This window comes from Homo sapiens, chromosome 2 (assembly GCF_000001405.40).
Source record: "Homo sapiens chromosome 2, GRCh38.p14 Primary Assembly".
NCBI lineage: Eukaryota > Metazoa > Chordata > Mammalia > Primates > Hominidae > Homo > Homo sapiens.
The window spans coordinates 86,178,646-86,195,956 of record NC_000002.12 but is presented as its reverse complement, the minus strand read 5'-3'; the positions used below and the strand labels follow the sequence as shown (position 1 = coordinate 86,195,956).

Sequence of the window (17,311 nt, the reverse complement as noted above, 5' to 3'; positions counted from 1 at the left end):
TTAGCACAAGGGTCCCCACAGTGTTAGTTCACCGTCTCCAGCAATCACTATGACTCCCTGGAGGGCTGTCAAACGAAACAAAGGCGCAAACTGAGACAATTCCATTGTTTACGTAACTTTCGCCAAATCGGCTCCTTCCTACGAAATATCCAGCTCATAGAGCAGGCTGAGATGCTTTGTTGCTTTAATTCTCTTTAAGAGTCACAGCTGTCCATTTTCCACGTGCGGCTGAAGAATGGATTTCAGAGCGCTCTCCCTCCGGCAGTGTTCACCTAGTAACCCCTTCCGGATAAGGACCTGCAGCCCGGGCGCGACCCGGAAAGGGAATCCGCCCTTTTCGCCTCCTTCGCGCCAATCGCCTGGAGTTGGCGTTTCCGCAGCCGGGACACAGCCCACCCTCTAAGAGCCGCGGAGTCGGGGACGGTAGAAGGGGCCGCGCGTGCGCAGTGGCGTCCGCTGTGCTTCCGGTGCGCCGGGCGCGGACGCGGGCACGCACACACGCAAGCACGCCTCCACTTAACTCGCGCCGCCGCGGCAGCTCGAGTCCACCAGCAGCGCCGTCCGCTTGACCGAGATGCTGCGGGCCTGTCAGTTATCGGGTGTGACCGCCGCCGCCCAGGTGAGCACTGGGGCTCCCGGAGGCGCGTGAGGAGGCTGAACTAGAACCGTCAGCGAAAAACGGGGGAGCCTTGGTCGCTGCCTAGCCTCCAGGACAAAGGCGAGCCTCAGGGCCACCCTCGTCGGGAGAGGCCCGGGCGGGCAGCTAGGCAGCCACCAGGGAGTTCGCCGGACTGGGATGACTTGAGGTTATTGCAGCAGCGGGGTGGGGTGTGGAGAGTAGCGGGAGGCGCGGCTTCGTGGGCATGTAGTCCAATCAGGGCCGCGCTGCCCCCGTCCAGGACCAATCCTGGCTGCTGGCGTCTGGGTCGCCGGTTGGGCGCGCGATAGGTTTTCAGTGCTGAAGGTCGACGGGCGAGAACTACAGTTCCCGTCAGGACGAGCGGAGCGGCGGCTTGTTGCATCCTTAATAAGGAGGTGCCTGGACTTCTAGCGAGAGTCCACATTTTAGGGGTCAAGGTTGTAATTATCTGGGAGGGAGTGCCTTTCTTTTCGCAGCTGAGAACACTTCTGAGTTATTCTTAATCCAAACAAAAGCGAAAGATTTTCATTTGTGGAGCTGAAACTCCTGGTCTTCAAGGAAAGACAGGAGTCATGACCTTGTGGCTCATTTCTGAGATTAGGGCAGGGATCTGTGTCTCCAGGCGCTGGGACTACTTTGACATTCAAGGAGCCTAAATACCCAGTTACTTCTAGTTTTGCGTAATTGCCAAAGTTACTTTCTAAAATTGAAAATTAAAAAGCCTGTTTCCACTGCTCATGATTTTCAGGAAGTTGATATTTTGGCAAAATGTAGATAGCAAACCAAGTACTGTGACTCAAGCAGTAATTGAACAGAATCCCTAGGAATAGTGAGTTAGAGATCATAAAAGTCAAGCTTTGTTTTTTCAAGTTCGCTTCTCTTCCTATTTGCTGCTAGGTAACAGAAGCAGCCCCTTCCATAGGAAAGTGGAACGAACCTGTGTTAGTTTTCTATTGCTGCGTAACAAATACCACAAATTTAGCAGCTTAAAACAACACCCATGAATGACCTTACGGGTTCTGTAGGATAGAAGTCTGGGCACGGATGATCTGTGTTCTCCGCTCCAGGTCACATAAGGCTGCAAAGTATTAGCCATGCTGTGGTTCTCATTTGGAGATCAGGGTCCTCTTCCAGGCTCATGCAGTTTGTTGGCAGAATTCAGTCCCTTGCAGTTACAGGACTGAAGTACTTCTTTTCTTGCTGCCTCTTGCCAGCCACTGCTCCCAGCTTCTACAGCCTGCCTACAGTTCCTTGCCTCAAGGCCTCTAGAGGCCATTCATAACATTGATGTTTGCTTTCGTGCAGGCTACCAGGAGCTTGCCTCTCTGACTTCCAAATTTCTTTTACTTTGGTCTTTCCTCTCTAGACCCAGATTTAAAAGGCTTATGTGATTAGACCAGGCCCACCTGGATGACCTCCTTTTCAGTTAATTCAGAGTCAACTTTTTGGGATCCCATTTGGGAATTAAGAAAACTAATTAAAACTTGGTAATAAAAAATGAACCCTTTTATAGCTCTGAATCAAGATGTCTAAGCTTCTTGAAATTGCTGTCTTGTAAAATTCTTTGGTTTATTCTCACCATCTCCTTAATTCTGTAGCATTTGACATTGCTGCTTTATGAGGCTCTTTGTACTTTTGGCTTCTCTCAAGTAATATTTTGGGTCCCATCTCTCTTGTTTTCCTTTACTGAGTCTGCTTCTGCTTTGTACCTCGAAATATACACCTTCTCATCTCTTCCTGTCTCTTTATAGACTCTCTAATTTGAGATTACATCAACTCTCAGAACTTTAATCCCCAAGCAGGTGACTCTCTAGCCTCGTCGTATTTGATTGTATCAACGTATCCAGAATATCTCACTTGTCAAGATCCTTTCCACTTTATTAAACCCCATCTTTCTTTTTTTTTTTTTGGATACGGAGTCTCACTTTGTCACCCAGGCTGGAGTGCAGTGGCACAGTCATGGCTCACTGCAGCCTTGACCTCCTGAGCGCAAGCAATCCTCTTACCTCAGCCTCCTGAGTAGCTGGGACCACAGGCATGTGCCACCATCCCTGGCTAATTTTTTAAAAAATTTTTGTAGAGACGGAGTCTCTCTGTGTTGGCCAGGCTGGTCTCGAACTCCTGGGCTCAAATGATCCTCCCACTTCTGCCTCCCAAAATGCTGGGAATATAGGCACGAGCCACCGTGCCCAGCCAACCCCATCTTCTTAAATGTCTTACTGCTTTTACTGTTCCCTCCTAGAGTCCATTCTTTACTCTAGGAGGGAATAGTAAAAGCAGTAAGACATTTAGTAAAAGGCTTTTTAAAAGGCAAACATGAGGTCATGCTCTTTGGAGACATCGCATCACATTCAAAATAAAATCTAAACTGCTTACCATGGGCCCTTGATCTGACTCTTCTCATATTTCATTTTTCTACTGCCTCACTCAGATTCTCCTGGTAATCTCCAGCATGTGCCTCACTGCCTTTTCATCAGGTGTTTCTTTTGCCCTGAACTCTTCTCACAGGTTTGCTTAACTTATTCCCTTCAGTTAATTTCTCAAATGTCACCTTCCCTTCAGAGAGGGCATCCTGATCCAAAATAGAATTCTGACTACTCTTGCCTTCCTTGTATCACTATATCTTTACCCCATCCTACTTTGTTATACTTTGTAGCTCCTAGCACTACCTGATGTTATAATGTGTATTTATTACACAGTTTCCACCTTTAAAAAGTAAGCTCCACAATGGAACTGTGTCCATATTTACTGCTGTATTTCCAGTATTAACAATAGTCCCTGGCTCCAAGTAGATGCTCAGTGAATGTTTATGACATATATAAATGAAAGAATGAATGTGTTCATGAATTTTTTTTTAATTTAAAAAGATTTTTTAGAGATGGGGTCTCATTATGTTTCCCAGGCTGGTCTTCAGCTTCTGGGCTCAAGTGATATGCCCACCTCGGCCTCCCAAAGTGGAATTTTTCTTAATCTGTGTAAGTGGATGTGACCTCCCTTTAAACATCCCATAGATTTTCAAACCTCTGATTATATATTCAGATTCTCCAGAGAAACAGAAACAATAAGGGTGTGTGTGTGTGTGTAGAGATAGGGTCTCATTCTGTTGCCCAGGCTGGAGTACAGCAGTGTGATCATAACTCATTGCAGTCTCAATCTCCTGGGCTTAAGCGATCCTCCCACCTCACCTCCTGAGTAGCTGGGACTACAGGCTTATGCCACCATGCCCAGCCAATGTTTTGGACTTTTAGTAGAGATGGGATCTCGCAATGTTGTTCCAGCTCATTTTGAACTTCTGGGCTCAAGCAATATCCCCACCTTCTCCTCCCCAAAGTGCTGGGATTACAGGCGTGAGCCATAGTGCCCAGCCTAGGAAGATTTATTATTTATTTATTAATTTTTTTTGAGATGGAGTCTTGCTCTGTCACCCAGGCTGGAGTGCAGTGGCGCCATTTCAGCACACTGCAAGCTCCGCCTCCCGGGTTCATGCCATTCTCCTGCCTCAGCCTCCCAAGTAGCTGGGACTACAGGCGCCTGCCACCACGCCTAATTTTTTTTTTTTTTTTTTTTTTGTATTTTTAGTAGAGACGGGGTTTCACCGTGTTAGCCAGGATAGTCTCGATCTCCTGACCTTGTGATCCCCCCACCTTGGCCTCCCAAAGTGCTGGGATTACAGGCGTGAGCCACCGCGCCTGGCTGAAAGATTTATTGTAAGGACTCTACTCACACAGTTATGGAGACTGGCAAGTCCAGAATCTGCTGTGTGGTTTGGCAGACTGGAGACCTAGGACAGCCAATATTGCAGTTGCAGTCTGCTGGCCAGCAGCCTGGAAACCCAGGAGAGTGGATGGTGCAGTTTCAGTCTGGAGGCAGTCTGCTAGAGAATTGCCTCTTGCTTTTTGTTGTTTTTGAGCCCTCAACTGATTGAATGAAGCCCACCCATGTTATAGGGCAAATTTTTTTTTTTTTTTTTTTGAGATAGGGTCTTGCTCTGTCACCCAGGCTGGAGTGCATTGGTGCAATCTCAGCTCACTACAACCTCCATCCACCAGACTCAAGCCATCCTCCCACCTCAGCCTCCTGAGTAGCTAGGACTGCAGGCATGCACCACCACACCCAGCTAACTTTTGTATTTTTTTTTCTGTAGAGACAGGCTATATTACCCAGGCTGGTCTCAAACTCCTGGGCTCAAGCAATCCACCCGCCTTTGCCTCCCAAAGTGATGGGATTACAGGAGTGAGCCACCATGCCTGGCCACTAGTTCACCAATTAAAATGTTAATCTCATCCAAAAACACAGTCCAAGTTGACACATAAAATGAACCATCACAGATAGTATCTACCTTATTCTTTGCCCAGGCTGGAATGCAGTGGTGCAATCTCGGCTCACTGCAACCTCCGCCTCCTGGGTTCTAGCAATTCTCCTGCCTCAGTCTCTCGAGTAACTGGGACTGCAGGCACGTGCCACTGTGCCCAGCTAATATTTTGTATTTTTAGTAGAGACAGGGTTTCACCATATTAGCCGGGATGGTCTCGATCTCCTGACGTCGTGATCTGCCCGCCTTGGGCTCCCAAAGTGCTGGGATTACAGGCTTAAGTCACTGCACCCGACACAGTATCTGCCTTATTCTTTATGTTTGGGCTTATCATCCTTGCATTCCTTAGATGTGGGTATTCAGTAAATGTGCTTTAGAACTCTGGTCCCTCTGTTTTTGTTTTCTTCTTTTATTCCTCAGACCTAACACCATCTTTCTTCTCTTAGTCCCAATACTGCATCACCAGGCCCAGCCTTTTTGAAGTGGTCATTGAGTTTGGAGGACATGGGCTTTCCGCCTAGCCTAGCCTTCTCTCAAACTACAAACCTGGAAGTGGTCATTTACATATGGAGTAGTCTTTCCTGCTTATAACTTGAAAGAAGAAGAAGAAACATTATTATTCTTGAGGATCAACCGCTCCAGCTTACTTAAGACCAAGTTTGATAACCCAGCTAGTTTAGGATTGAACTTGTGTGTGGACATGAGCTATCATCTTCTAGAATTCCTTCTTTCTGTTAGGATTATGAAACATTATGTTACTCAGTGATAGAGATAGGCAGCCAACCACACGTGCTAGAAAGTAGTTTAGTAGATCATGCGGCCAGGTGTTTGCTTCTACCCATGCTAGAATCCTCTTCATTGTTCCTTTTTTCATATCTCTAGACCAGTAGCCTTCAAACCATTTTGAAATACATCTTACGCCGTAACTTACTACACCGAAGTGATAACATACAAAATATATTCACATATGTGCAGGGAAAACTAAAGTGTCAAGTTCCTGCTTTTGTCATACTGATAAGTATCTGCCATTTCTATAACTAAAGAGCACGTGTTCTCCTAGAATAGAATATGTTTATACTGAAATGTAATGCTGCTTCAATGTAAAATTGTAATGTAAAATGTAAAATTTCAATGTAAAAACTTACTGGATTTTTTTGTGGGATATACTTTTTAACCTTAATGCATGATTCTTATAAACTATTTTAAATTAACAGTAGAAAAAGTTAATTTGTTGTATATCAATCTATATTTCAAATGTAGAACTGCCCATTAACTTATGGGTGCCTTTTTCGTTTGTGTGGGAGGAGTCCTTATGTATGACAAGATCCACAAAAACGTTATCAGTTGACAGCAACCAGCAGTCTGTGGAGGAAACCTGGAACCTCTAGTTAGAGTTCACATGAGGCAGCTCATACTACAGGCTCCATGTCCAGGTTGTCATGCTAGATTGTGGTTTCTTTATGTCTTCACTTTAGTTTGGTAGAGCTAAGGAACAGATGGTCTGTGTAACAGCATTAATCATGGGGCGGAACACTTGAGGTCAGGAGTTCAAGACCAGCCTGGCCAATATGGTGAAACCCCGTCTCTACTAAAAATACAAAAATTAGCCGGGTGTGGTGGCAGGTGCCTGTAATCCCAGCTGCCCGGGAGGCTGAGGCAGGAGAATCTCTTAAACCCAGGAGATGGAGGTTGCAGTGAGCCGAGATCACACCATTGCACTCCAGCCTGGGTGTCACAGCGAGACTCCATCTCAAAAAAAAAAAGAACATTACATGGGAATTATATGTTTCCTCTTTTTTTTAATATCACGTTTCTGCGGGTTAGAAGCAGCAAGGCTAACCTTATAACATATGTCTAGACAGATTGCTTTGAAACAGTGTTGTCCTTTCTATGTCATAGGTCCTTATTAATAAAAAGGAATTCCAGGACAAAAAAGTAGCCAATATTTTGTGTGTTAATGTAGGATATTTAGTTTATGTTAATAGTTTAGTACTTAAGAGAGCTCTGGAGACAGACCTTATGTTTGGCAATGGTTTCTTAACTATAACACCAAAAGCACAAGCAACAAGAGAAACTAAAGATAAATTGGACTTCATTAAAATTTTAAATTTTTGTGCATCAGAGGGATACTTGAGAGTGAAAAGGATGAAAGTATTCTAATGGATACTAGATATTTTGGATACTAGACCCTCATATCTGATGAGGTGTTTCTTTTTAGGTAAGGAACTCCTGCAACTCAGTAACAAAAAAGACTACCCAAATAAAAATACAGGCAAAGGGCCCAGGCTCTGTGGCTCATGCCTGTCATCCCAGCACTTTGGGAAGCTGAGGCAGGCAGAACGCTTGAGCGCAGGAGTTCAAGACTAGCCTGGACAACATGGTGAAACTCTGTCTCTACAAAAAATACAAACATTAGCTGGGTGTGGTGGCATGCACCTGTAGTGTTAGCTACTCGGTAGGCTGAGAGGTGGGAGGATTGCTTGAGCCTGTGAGGTCGAGGCTGCAGTGAACCATGATGGTGCCACAGCACTCCAGTCTCGGTGACAGAGTGAGATGCTGTCTCCACATATATACATATATGTATTTGTGTGCGTGTGTGTGTGCGCGTGTGTGCGTGTATGTGTATGCATGAGCAAAGGACTTGAATAGCCATTCATCCAAAGCAGATATACAGATGGCTAAGAAGCACATGGAAAGATGCTCAACATCCTTTGACACTAGGGAAATGCAAATTAAAACCGTGAGATACTCAGTTCACAACCACTAAGATGGTTATAATAAAAATGGAAAATAACAAATTAGCCGGGCATGGTGGTACACACCTGTAATCCCAGCTACTTGGGAGGCTGAGGCAGGAGAATCACTTGAACCCGGGAGGCGAAGGTTGCAGGGAGCTGAGATTGCGCCATTGCACTCCAGCCTGGGCGACAAGAGCAAAACTCCATCTCAAAACAAAAATGGAAAATAACAAATGTTGGTGAGGGTATAGAGAAATTGGAACCCTCATACATTGCTAGTGGGAATGTAAAATGGTACAGCTGCTGTGAAAAAATAGTTTAGTGGTGTCTCAGTAACTTTTTTTTTTTTTTCTGGAGACAGAGTTTCACTCTTGTTGCCCAGGCTGGAGTGCAGTGGCGCGATCTCGGCTCACCGCAACCTCTACCTCCTGGGTTCAAGGGATTCTCCTGCTTCAGCCTCCCGAGTAGCTGGGATTACAGGCATGCGCCACCACGCCCAGCTAATTTTGTATTTTTACTGGAGACGCGGGGCTTCTCCATGTTGGTCAGGCTGGTCTCGAATTCCCAACCTCAGGTGATCTGCCTGCCTCAGCCTCCCAAAGTGCTGGGATTACAGGCGTGAGCGACTGAGCCTGGCTGTGTCTCAGTAATTTAAACATAGAATTACCATATGACCTTGAAGTTCCCTGCCAAAAGAATAAAAAACAGGTGTTCAAACAAAAACTTTTAGATGAATATTCATAGCAACATTATTCACAATTCACAGCCAAAAGGTGAGGCAACCCAAATGTCCATTAACTGATGACTGGTTAAACAAAATATGGTATATTTACGTGATAAAATATTAGATTCAGCCATAAAAAGGAATGAAGTACAAGCTACATATGTGATACATGTTACAATGTGAATGAATCGTGAAAACATTACACTAAGTGAAAGAAGCTGGACAAAAAGATGTACATTGTGTGATTCCATTTATACAAAATATCTCAAACAGGCAGATTCATAGAAACAGAAAGTACATGGTGGTTGCCAGGGGCCAGAGAGAGAGGAAAATGGGGGATGACTGCTTAATGGATATAGGATTTCCTTTTAGGGTGATGAAAATGTTCTAAGATTAGATAGTGGTGATGGTTGTTGTACAACATCGTGGATGTACTAAATACCGTGGAATTGTACATTTTAAAATGGTTAGAATGGTGAATTTTATGTTAAGGGGATTTTGTCACATAGAGGAAAAAAAAAATACCTGCCACCAGGTATTTGCAGATGGCCGGAAGTATAGAGCCAGAGCTAGATACACACATACACACCCTAAACTTGCAGAGGCTTCCATTGGCCCAAGATAGGAAAATTTGAGCAAAAAGACAGTAATTACAAATGGTTGAAATCCATCAAAAGTGTTTAAATCCATGAATTTAAAAAGATCTGTTCTTATGAGTTACAGCTGCATAACAGGCCACCTTGAGCTTGGGGTAAAATAACAGTATTTATTGCCTTACTCAGTTCTGGAAAATTTTTGCTCAGAGACCCTCATGAAGTTGCAGTCAGATAGTTACTAGGTCTACAGTCATCCCCAAGTCTTCTTTACTCTCATGTGTGGCAGTAAATACTGGCTGCAGCTGACACCTCAGCAGGGACTGTTGGCTGGATCACCCATCTGTGGCATCTTTAAGTGTCTGGACTTCCATACACTTTGGTGGCTGGGTTCCAAGGGCAAGTGTGACAAGAGGCAGAGCTAGGTAGAAGCTGTATCCTTTTTATGTCTTAGTCTCAGGAGTTACAGAGCATCACTTTCACTGCCTTCTATTAGTGAATTAGTAACAAAGGCCTGCCCTTGTTTAAGGGAAGTGTACATAAAACTTATTATTGTTGGGAGAGGGGCACGTTTCTGGAACAGCATGTGGTATAGGAAGTATTGTTGCAGTCAATTTTGGATATTATCCTCAGCCTTCTGGACCCAACTGACATCCCTCCCACATGCACATCCCTCCCACTCACAACCTTCTCCAAGACTCTCCAGAGTCTAATGCCATCAAAGCATCAGCATTAGGAACAAGATCTTGTCATCTGAATCAGATCCTACTATGGATAAGACATCTTGAATGTGGTCCCTAGGGTATAGCTTCTTAAACACTTTTTTTGGTGATCTAAAGCCCTGTAAACTAAAGAGACAAATTATCTGCTCCCCATACATTCAGCATATGGTGGTATGACAGACACAGGATAATCACTCTAGACACTCCTATTCAAAAAGGCAGAAACTAAGAGGCACACAGCAGTCACCATTCCATAACAAGTGTAAAATTCAGCTGGCCCTATGTTTCTAATTCCTTGATGAGAGCTCAGTCCTACTGCTTGGGAATGATTCTCCTCAGCTCTTGGTTCTACCCTTTGGGCTCCTGGTTTTACACTTGAATTATTCTTCCGTTTCCAGAATATGTTGTCTGTTACAGCTGAATTGTTTCACAGCCTACTTCCTGTCTGTAGAAGTTTGTCTAGAAGCTTCTTTTCATTTTGTCCTCTTTTTCACTTTAAATATAAGCCAGCATGTTTTTTATTGACACAATTCTCAACAAGTTTGTGGGTTTCCTGTGAATCTTAATGGGATTTTCTTCATTAGATGCATGATACACATCTTATCAAGATAAGCCCTTCTCCATTTTGGGCTTCCTGTGAGGCTGCTGTAGGTAACACCTTTAATGTTCTGAGTAACCTTATTGATTCAATAGAATCTGGGAAACACATCCTTATGATTCTTAGAGGGCCTTTTCCTCAAGGTAAAAAGACTCTCTGAGGGGCACCTCCTTAGATCTTTTTGAGATCTCAAAGTATCTTTTGGTCACACACTAGATTTGATCTTTGGCTTGAAGCCCTTCTCTATTTGAGAATCTATTTGAAAACAATAAGCAGTTTTATTTTTGAACCCACCAAATCCTGACTCTTTTATATTTCCTTTAAATTTTGCTTGAAAGCAAAACAGGTTTTTGTTTTGTTTTTTAATGCTTATCTCTGTCCTTATCATACTCAGCTAAAAGAAACCAGTTAGCGCTTGTGATGAACACTATACTTGGAACTCTTTTGTTTTTTTTTTTTTAAGACAGAGTCTGGCTCTGTCACCCAGGCTGGCGCAATCTCGGCTCACTGCAAGCTCTGCCTCCCGGGTTCATGCTGCCTCAGCCTCCCGAGTAGCTGGGACTACAGGCGCACACTGCCACGCCCGGCTAATTTTCTGTATTTTTAGTAGAGACGGGGTTTCACCATGTTCAGCAGGATGGTCTCAATCTCCTGACCTTGTGATCCGCCCGCTTCGGCCTCCCAAAGTGCTGGGATTACAGGCGTAAGCCATCGCGCCTGGCCTACTTGGAACTCTTTAGCCAAGTACGTCAGTTCATTAGGTGTAGCTACAGCTATACTTAATTTTCTATTTTCCATGTCTGTCATTACAGATGACAGTTTTGATAAACTTCTGTCACTACATAACAAGAATATCTTTTCCTCCAGGTTCCAAAATTTTTTTTTTTTTTTGCTTTTCTTTAAGCCCTCACCAACAGGCTCTGGAAGGCCATTAGGCTTCTGCTCACAGTCTCTTCAAGGTTCTTCAGCTTCTGCCGCCCCCAACACCAGTCCCAAAGTCATGACCTCGTGTTTATGTTTTGTTGCAGTAGCACCCCTCTTCTAGGTATAAACATATGTTTGGTTATCTGTAGCTGTGTAACAGACCACCCTAAACTTAGTGGTATTAAATAGCAGTGTAATTATAATTATTATATTAACAATAACAAACGTATTAATATATAAATTATGTAAATAAAAATTACTCAGTGCTTTGAGAGGCCAAGGTAGGAGGATTGCTTGAGGCCATGAGTTCAAAACTAGCTTGGGTAACATAGCAGACCTGGCTCTATAAAAAACAAGAACAAAAATATTAGCTGGGTATGGTGGGCATGTGCCTGTAGTCCCAGCTACTCAGGGGGCTGAGGCTGGAGGATCACTTGAGCCCAGGAGTTAGAGGTTACAGTGAGCTATGATCATACCACTGCATTCCACAACCTTGGCAACAGAGCAAGACTCAGTCTCTTAAAAAAAAAATTATTTATATGCTTGAAACACTCTATTTCTGTATTTTCACCCCTCAGATTGTCAATGATGAAAAAAAAATGATACAATACAGTGTGTTGGAGAAAATGTGGGAAAACATACTTTCATATTACTAGAGGGCAGTTTGGCTAATTTGGCAGTATTAATCAACGTGGCAAATTTTACTTTTAAGAATAGACCCAAAATTGTGTATACAGTGTTACTCAGGTAGCATTATTTATTTTAACAAAAATTTAGAAAAAACCTCAGTGTCCCTCAATAGGGGCTGGTTAACAATTAAACATTAAGTAACAATGGAATACCAAATCATGAAATCCCTTGGGAAGCTTTTCACGTACTGATATACAGTGATTTAAAATATATATCCTTGAACTTTAATAGAGAATTGCGTGTATATTATGGTATCATTTGTGTAAAGGTGGGGAAAGTCAGGAGAATATGCACATTTGAATAAATATACATAAAATGTCTCTGGATAAATAAGAAACTGACAGTGTCAGTTGCCTATGGCAAGCATGGGGTGGCTGGGGAAAGAAGTATGAGGAAGATTTTACTCTATGCATATTTAAACTTTTAAAATTATTATTTAAAACCTCAGATTTTAAATTTATTTAGTATTAGGAGCTTTTAACTTATAGTCAAAACACATTCTGTCAAAGGGAGGATGGAGAGTCAAGATAAAAGAAAATAGAAGGTAGATAAAGAAACATTTAAAAATACTGATGCTGGGCGTGGTTGTTCATGCCTGTAATTCCAACACTTTGGGAGGCCGTGGCAGGAGAATAGGTTGAGACCAGGAGTTCGAGACCAGCCTGGTCAACATAGCAAGACCTGGTCTCTACAAACAACAAAAAAAATTATTTAAAGAAAAACTGATGTGACTTTGGGTAGTCTGAAACTCTAGTATTAAATTTGTCCCTGATTTCCTGGAGTCAGTTATCCATTGTGCTTGCTGCTTGATACTCCAGTTAGCTAATTATCCACTGTTGACAGTGCCTTAACTTTTTACCTGAATACCTATTTATACCTAGACAGATAAAAAATGCAACCTTAAATATAATACAACTTCAGTGGCCTCTTAATATTTTCTCCCTAAGTCACAAAAATGGAATTGTTGACATATAAAAATAGATGCATTTCTGTTTACAATTTCATACTACTTTACAGAATAGAAGGAAAACACCCTTTTCTATTAAAAATGGTTCAAAAATGTTGGGAATTCTACAGGGTAGGTAATAATTGAAATACTGGGTTTTTTTTGTTTGTTTGGTATTTTTTGTTTTTGTTTTTGTTTTTTTTTTTAAGGGGAGTGGAGGAGACAGGGTCTCATTCTATTGCCCAGGCTGGAGTGGAGTGACACAGTCTTGGCTCATTGCAACCTCCACCTCCGGGGCTCAAGCTCAAGTGATTCTCATGCCTCAGCCTCCCAAGTATCTGGGACTATAGGCACATGCCACCAAACCTGGCTAATTTTTGTATTTGTAGTAGAGATGGAGTTTTGCCATGTTGCCAAGGCTGGTTCTGACGTCCTGGGCTCAAGCAATCCCCGCCTGCGCCGCTCACCCTCGCCAGCCTCCCAAAGTGCTGGGATTACAGGCATGAGCCACCATGTCAATAATTGAAATACTTTTTAATACCAGTTGTATCTGCTTTACATATTTTAAAACATCTGATTTGTTTTTTTGTTTTTCAAAATGTATGACTGCATTAGTTAGCTGTTTACCTCTAGGCTTTGGCCAGTAGAGTGTAAATTATAACTAGAGTAATTTCATGTGTCCTATGATCATGTGATAGATTTTCCTAAAACTATAGATACTTTTAAAAGGAAGTTTGTGTTATTCTGATATTCGTTAAATACAATTTCATTAAAGAACCTAGAAAAAGCATTTTTCCTCTTGTTGCAGTTTGATTTTTCCTAGTATTTTTTAAAAAGATACTTTTATGGATTTGATAAGTGTAAATTTTCAAATTAATAGGTATGAATGGTTTAAAGTTTATGAAAACCTTCCCCAATAGTATTTAGATGCTTGTTCATTTGCTTAATTTAGGAGATCCACATATTTATTATTAAGAAATATTTAGGTGTATTTTACTCTTATTAAAACCAATCACAAGCCATATAGCCCTGATCATTTGTTTTTATGTAAGGATAGACTAGTTATATGGGGACAGGTGTACTTGAACATTTACAACATTAATTAAAATGTTTTTCTTAAAATGGTTGGCTTTTAGACTAACAATATGCTAAGATAAACCAAAAATCAGCTTTTAAATGAATGCCTCTAGGAGTTGACCAGCTGCATAGTTAGCTTAGAGATGAGAAACCTGGTTTTCTGGATCAGTTAGCTGAGGTTAGATCTGTCCCTTGAGTGTGTATCCTGTAACGCCATGTTTTTAGCTAGACTTTGTGGGTGATTTTTCAGATGTCTAAACTAAGCTTTTAAAGTAAAAATAGATTTTTTTTTTTGCCAATTAAGAAAACATATAGCAAATACCAATTGTATTCAAGAAATAATTAACATACTTAAGACTTATTTAAAGGTGCTAATTGATCATAGTCTGATAATTTTTTTTTAATATTAAAAGTAATTTTATGTGAGCCTTGGGGTGTAAGAAGCATCACTGCTTTTAGGAATCTATAAATATGGTTCATGATAAATTGACTTCTGAAAAAAAGTAATTTTTTGTTTAATGAAGACATTTTTAATAAAAGTATTATTTCTGTATTACCAACCCTAAAAGCTTACCAGTTTCCTTTAACTGTATTGGTTGTGATGTGTTTTCCTTCTTTAGAGTTGTCTCTGTGGGAAGTTTGTCCTCCGTCCATTGCGACCATGCCGCAGATACTCTACTTCAGGCAGCTCTGGGTATGTATTATGTCTCCCTATAACCAGGCTTTTCACTGTGTGCTGCTTAGGGAGTGTGTGTTTTCCTTGAATATGGGAATAGCTGTCTAAACCTTTTTTTAAAAAGGGGTACATACACCGAAGCTTTGCTGTAACATTATTGGGGTACCTTCTGGAGCATTGTTTGTAGGTAAAAATTTGTTAATAATGCACCTTTTGGCTCTTTGGTAATTGGATGGCATCCGAGGCATAGCCCTCCTTGTATGTGCAATCTTCCATTCTATGGCAAATAGATTTATATCCAGAACTCAGCATGTTGTAACTTAAATAAGTGTTAAATTTATTTGGCATTTTATTAGCTTTTCATATTGTGACTTAAGCAAGTGTTAAATTTATTTGGCATTTTATTATCTATTTTTTTTTCTTTTTTTTAAAGACAGAGTCTCGCTCTGTTGCCCAGGCTGGAGTGCAGTGGCTGGATCTTGGCTCACTGCAACCTCCACCTCCCAGGTTCAAGCGATTTTTCTGCCTCAGCCTCCCCTGTAGCTGGGACTACAGGTGCATGTCACCATGCCCAACTAATTTTTGTATTTTTAGTAGAGACGGGGTTTCACCATGTTGGCCAGGCTGGTTTTGAACTCCTGACCTCAGGTGATCCATCCGCCTCGGCCTCTCGAAGTGCTGGCATTACAGGTGTGAGCCACCATGGCTGGCTGGTATTTTATTATCTTTTGTAAAGAGTTTATTGTGTTTAGGCCGGGCGTGGTGGCTCACGCTTGTAATCCGAGCACTTTGGGAGGCCGAGGAGGGCAGATCACCTGAGGTCAGGAGTTTGAGACCAGCCTGGCCAACTTGGTGAAACCCCGTCTCTACTAAAAATAAAAAAATTAGCCGGGCGTAGTGGCGCATGCCTGTAATCCCAGCTACTCGGGAGGCTGAGGCAGGAGAATCACTTGAACCCGGGAGGTGGAGGTTGCAGTGAGCCAAGATCGTGCCATCGCACTCCAGCCTGAGGGACAAGAGCAAGACTTTGTCTCAAGAAAAAATAAAAAAAAGAGTTTATTGTGTTTATAGAAATGTTTGATTGAGGAAGAGGAGCCTTGAAAGTGATAGTTCTTGTTTGGGTTCAGAGAGAATCTCATGATTGTGAACATGTTGAGTTAAAGGGTAGATTTCTAGATATTGTATTTAAAAAAAATTTTTAGTTATTCATACTTTTATTTATTTATTTATTTATTTTTTGAGACAAGGTCTTGTTCTGTTGCTCCAGGCTGGAGTGCAATGGCATGATCATGGCTCACAGCAGCCTTCATCTCCCAGTCTTAAGCATTCCTCCTACCTCGGCCTCTTGAGTAGCTGGGGCACGTGCTACTACACCTGGCTAATTTTTTTGGCAGGGTGTGGTGGGTAGAGATGGGGCCTTACTGTGGTGCCTAGGGTGGTTTTGAACTCCTGGGCTCAAGCAACCCTTCCACCTAGGCCTCCTAAAATGAATAAATACTATTTTTGGTGGCAACATGTTATAAACAAATCAGGAAAAGGTGATGTGCAGACATGGTGGTAAACTTGGCTGCTATGATCTGAATTAGTGGTAGATAAGTAGAGGCTAGAGGTCTTCGAGATGGTTACATTGGTATAGGAAAATAGGTGTAGGAGAGCCAAGAAATATAAATGTATTTCCTGTTTCTTTCACTTAGGTTGACTACTGGCAAAATTGCTGGAGCTGGCCTTTTGTTTGTTGGTGGAGGTATTGGTGGCACTATCCTATATGCCAAATGGGATTCCCATTTCCGGGAAAGTGTAGAGAAAACCATACCTTACTCAGACAAACTCTTCGAGATGGTTCTTGGTCCTGCAGCTTATAATGTTCCATTGCCAAAGAAATCGGTAAGAGTTTTAAACAATATTTCAGTTTATCCAATGAAATACTTTAAAAGCAAGTTGTTTTCATGTTGAAAATACAGTTGTCTTTTGGTATTCTTGAAGGAGAGGTTCAGGACCTCCTGTGGATACAAAAATCCCATGGATGCTCAAGTCTCAGATATAAAATGTTACAGTGTTTGCATATAACCTATGTATACCCTCCCATATACTTTAAATCATCTCTAGATTAGATGTAATATCTAATACATTGTAAATGCTGTCTAAATTTTCATTATACTGTGTTATTTAGGGAATGATGACAAGAAAGAAAAGTCTGTCCATGTTTAGTACAGATGCAGTTTGTTTTTGTTTGTTTTTGTTTTTGTTTTTGTTTTGAGACAGAGTTTCACCCTTGTTAACCAGGCTGGAGTATAGTGGTATGATCTCGCCTCACCGCAACCTCCGCCTCCGGGTTCAAGCGATTCTCCTGCCTCAGCCTCCCGAGTAGCTGGGATTACAGGCAACTGCCACCATGCCCGGCTAATTGTTTGTATTTTTAGTAGAGATGGGGTTCACCATGTTGGCCAGACTGGTCTCAAACTCCTGACCTCAGGTGATCTGCCCGCCTCAGCCTCCCAAAGTGTTGGGATTACAGGCATGAGCCACCATGCCTGGCCTCAGGTGCAATTTTTTAAAAAATATACTTTTTCAATCTGTGGTTGGTTGAATCTATGGATGTAGAACCTACAGATATGGAGAGCCAGTTGTGTTTTGTCTGTATGCAGTGCAACTTGCCAGATGTATGTATGTT

General features: G+C 42.1%; 1 protein-coding gene and 1 non-coding gene across 63 annotated transcripts in view, besides 3 other annotated features; both read left to right on the top strand.

The window, feature by feature from the left end:
- The window catches only part of IMMT (inner membrane mitochondrial protein), a 51,527-nt gene continuing 34,710 nt past the window's right edge, over positions 495-17,311 (top strand). For 56 of the 62 annotated variants that reach the window (NR_174397.1, NR_174395.1, NR_174400.1 and 53 more), the window contains exons 1-3: positions 495-619; positions 14,585-14,658; positions 16,335-16,524. Coding sequence is in view for 42 of the 62 variants with exons in the window: in NM_001400107.1 (NP_001387036.1) it covers positions 575-619; positions 14,585-14,658; positions 16,335-16,524 (309 nt within the window). In the remaining 20 variants the exon portion in view is untranslated. The remainder of the gene's footprint in view (positions 620-14,584; positions 14,659-16,334; positions 16,525-17,311) is intronic. The other 6 variants (NM_001400119.1, NM_001400137.1, NM_001400118.1 and 3 more) reach the window with 2 other exon arrangements.
- Positions 505-624: an enhancer, noted in NCBI's record as "active region_16157". NCBI's record gives its function as "activates an Ori minimal core promoter by ATAC-STARR-seq in GM12878 lymphoblastoid cells {active_cell/tissue: GM12878}" and the evidence as "EXISTENCE:reporter gene assay evidence [ECO:0000049][PMID:35858748]".
- Positions 645-824: an enhancer, noted in NCBI's record as "active region_16156". NCBI's record gives its function as "activates an Ori minimal core promoter by ATAC-STARR-seq in GM12878 lymphoblastoid cells {active_cell/tissue: GM12878}" and the evidence as "EXISTENCE:reporter gene assay evidence [ECO:0000049][PMID:35858748]".
- Positions 945-994: an enhancer, noted in NCBI's record as "active region_16155". NCBI's record gives its function as "activates an Ori minimal core promoter by ATAC-STARR-seq in GM12878 lymphoblastoid cells {active_cell/tissue: GM12878}" and the evidence as "EXISTENCE:reporter gene assay evidence [ECO:0000049][PMID:35858748]".
- MIR4779 (microRNA 4779) lies at positions 2,849-2,931 on the top strand. Its single transcript, NR_039939.1, has one exon. It is a non-coding gene; the product is annotated as a microRNA 4779 (primary transcript).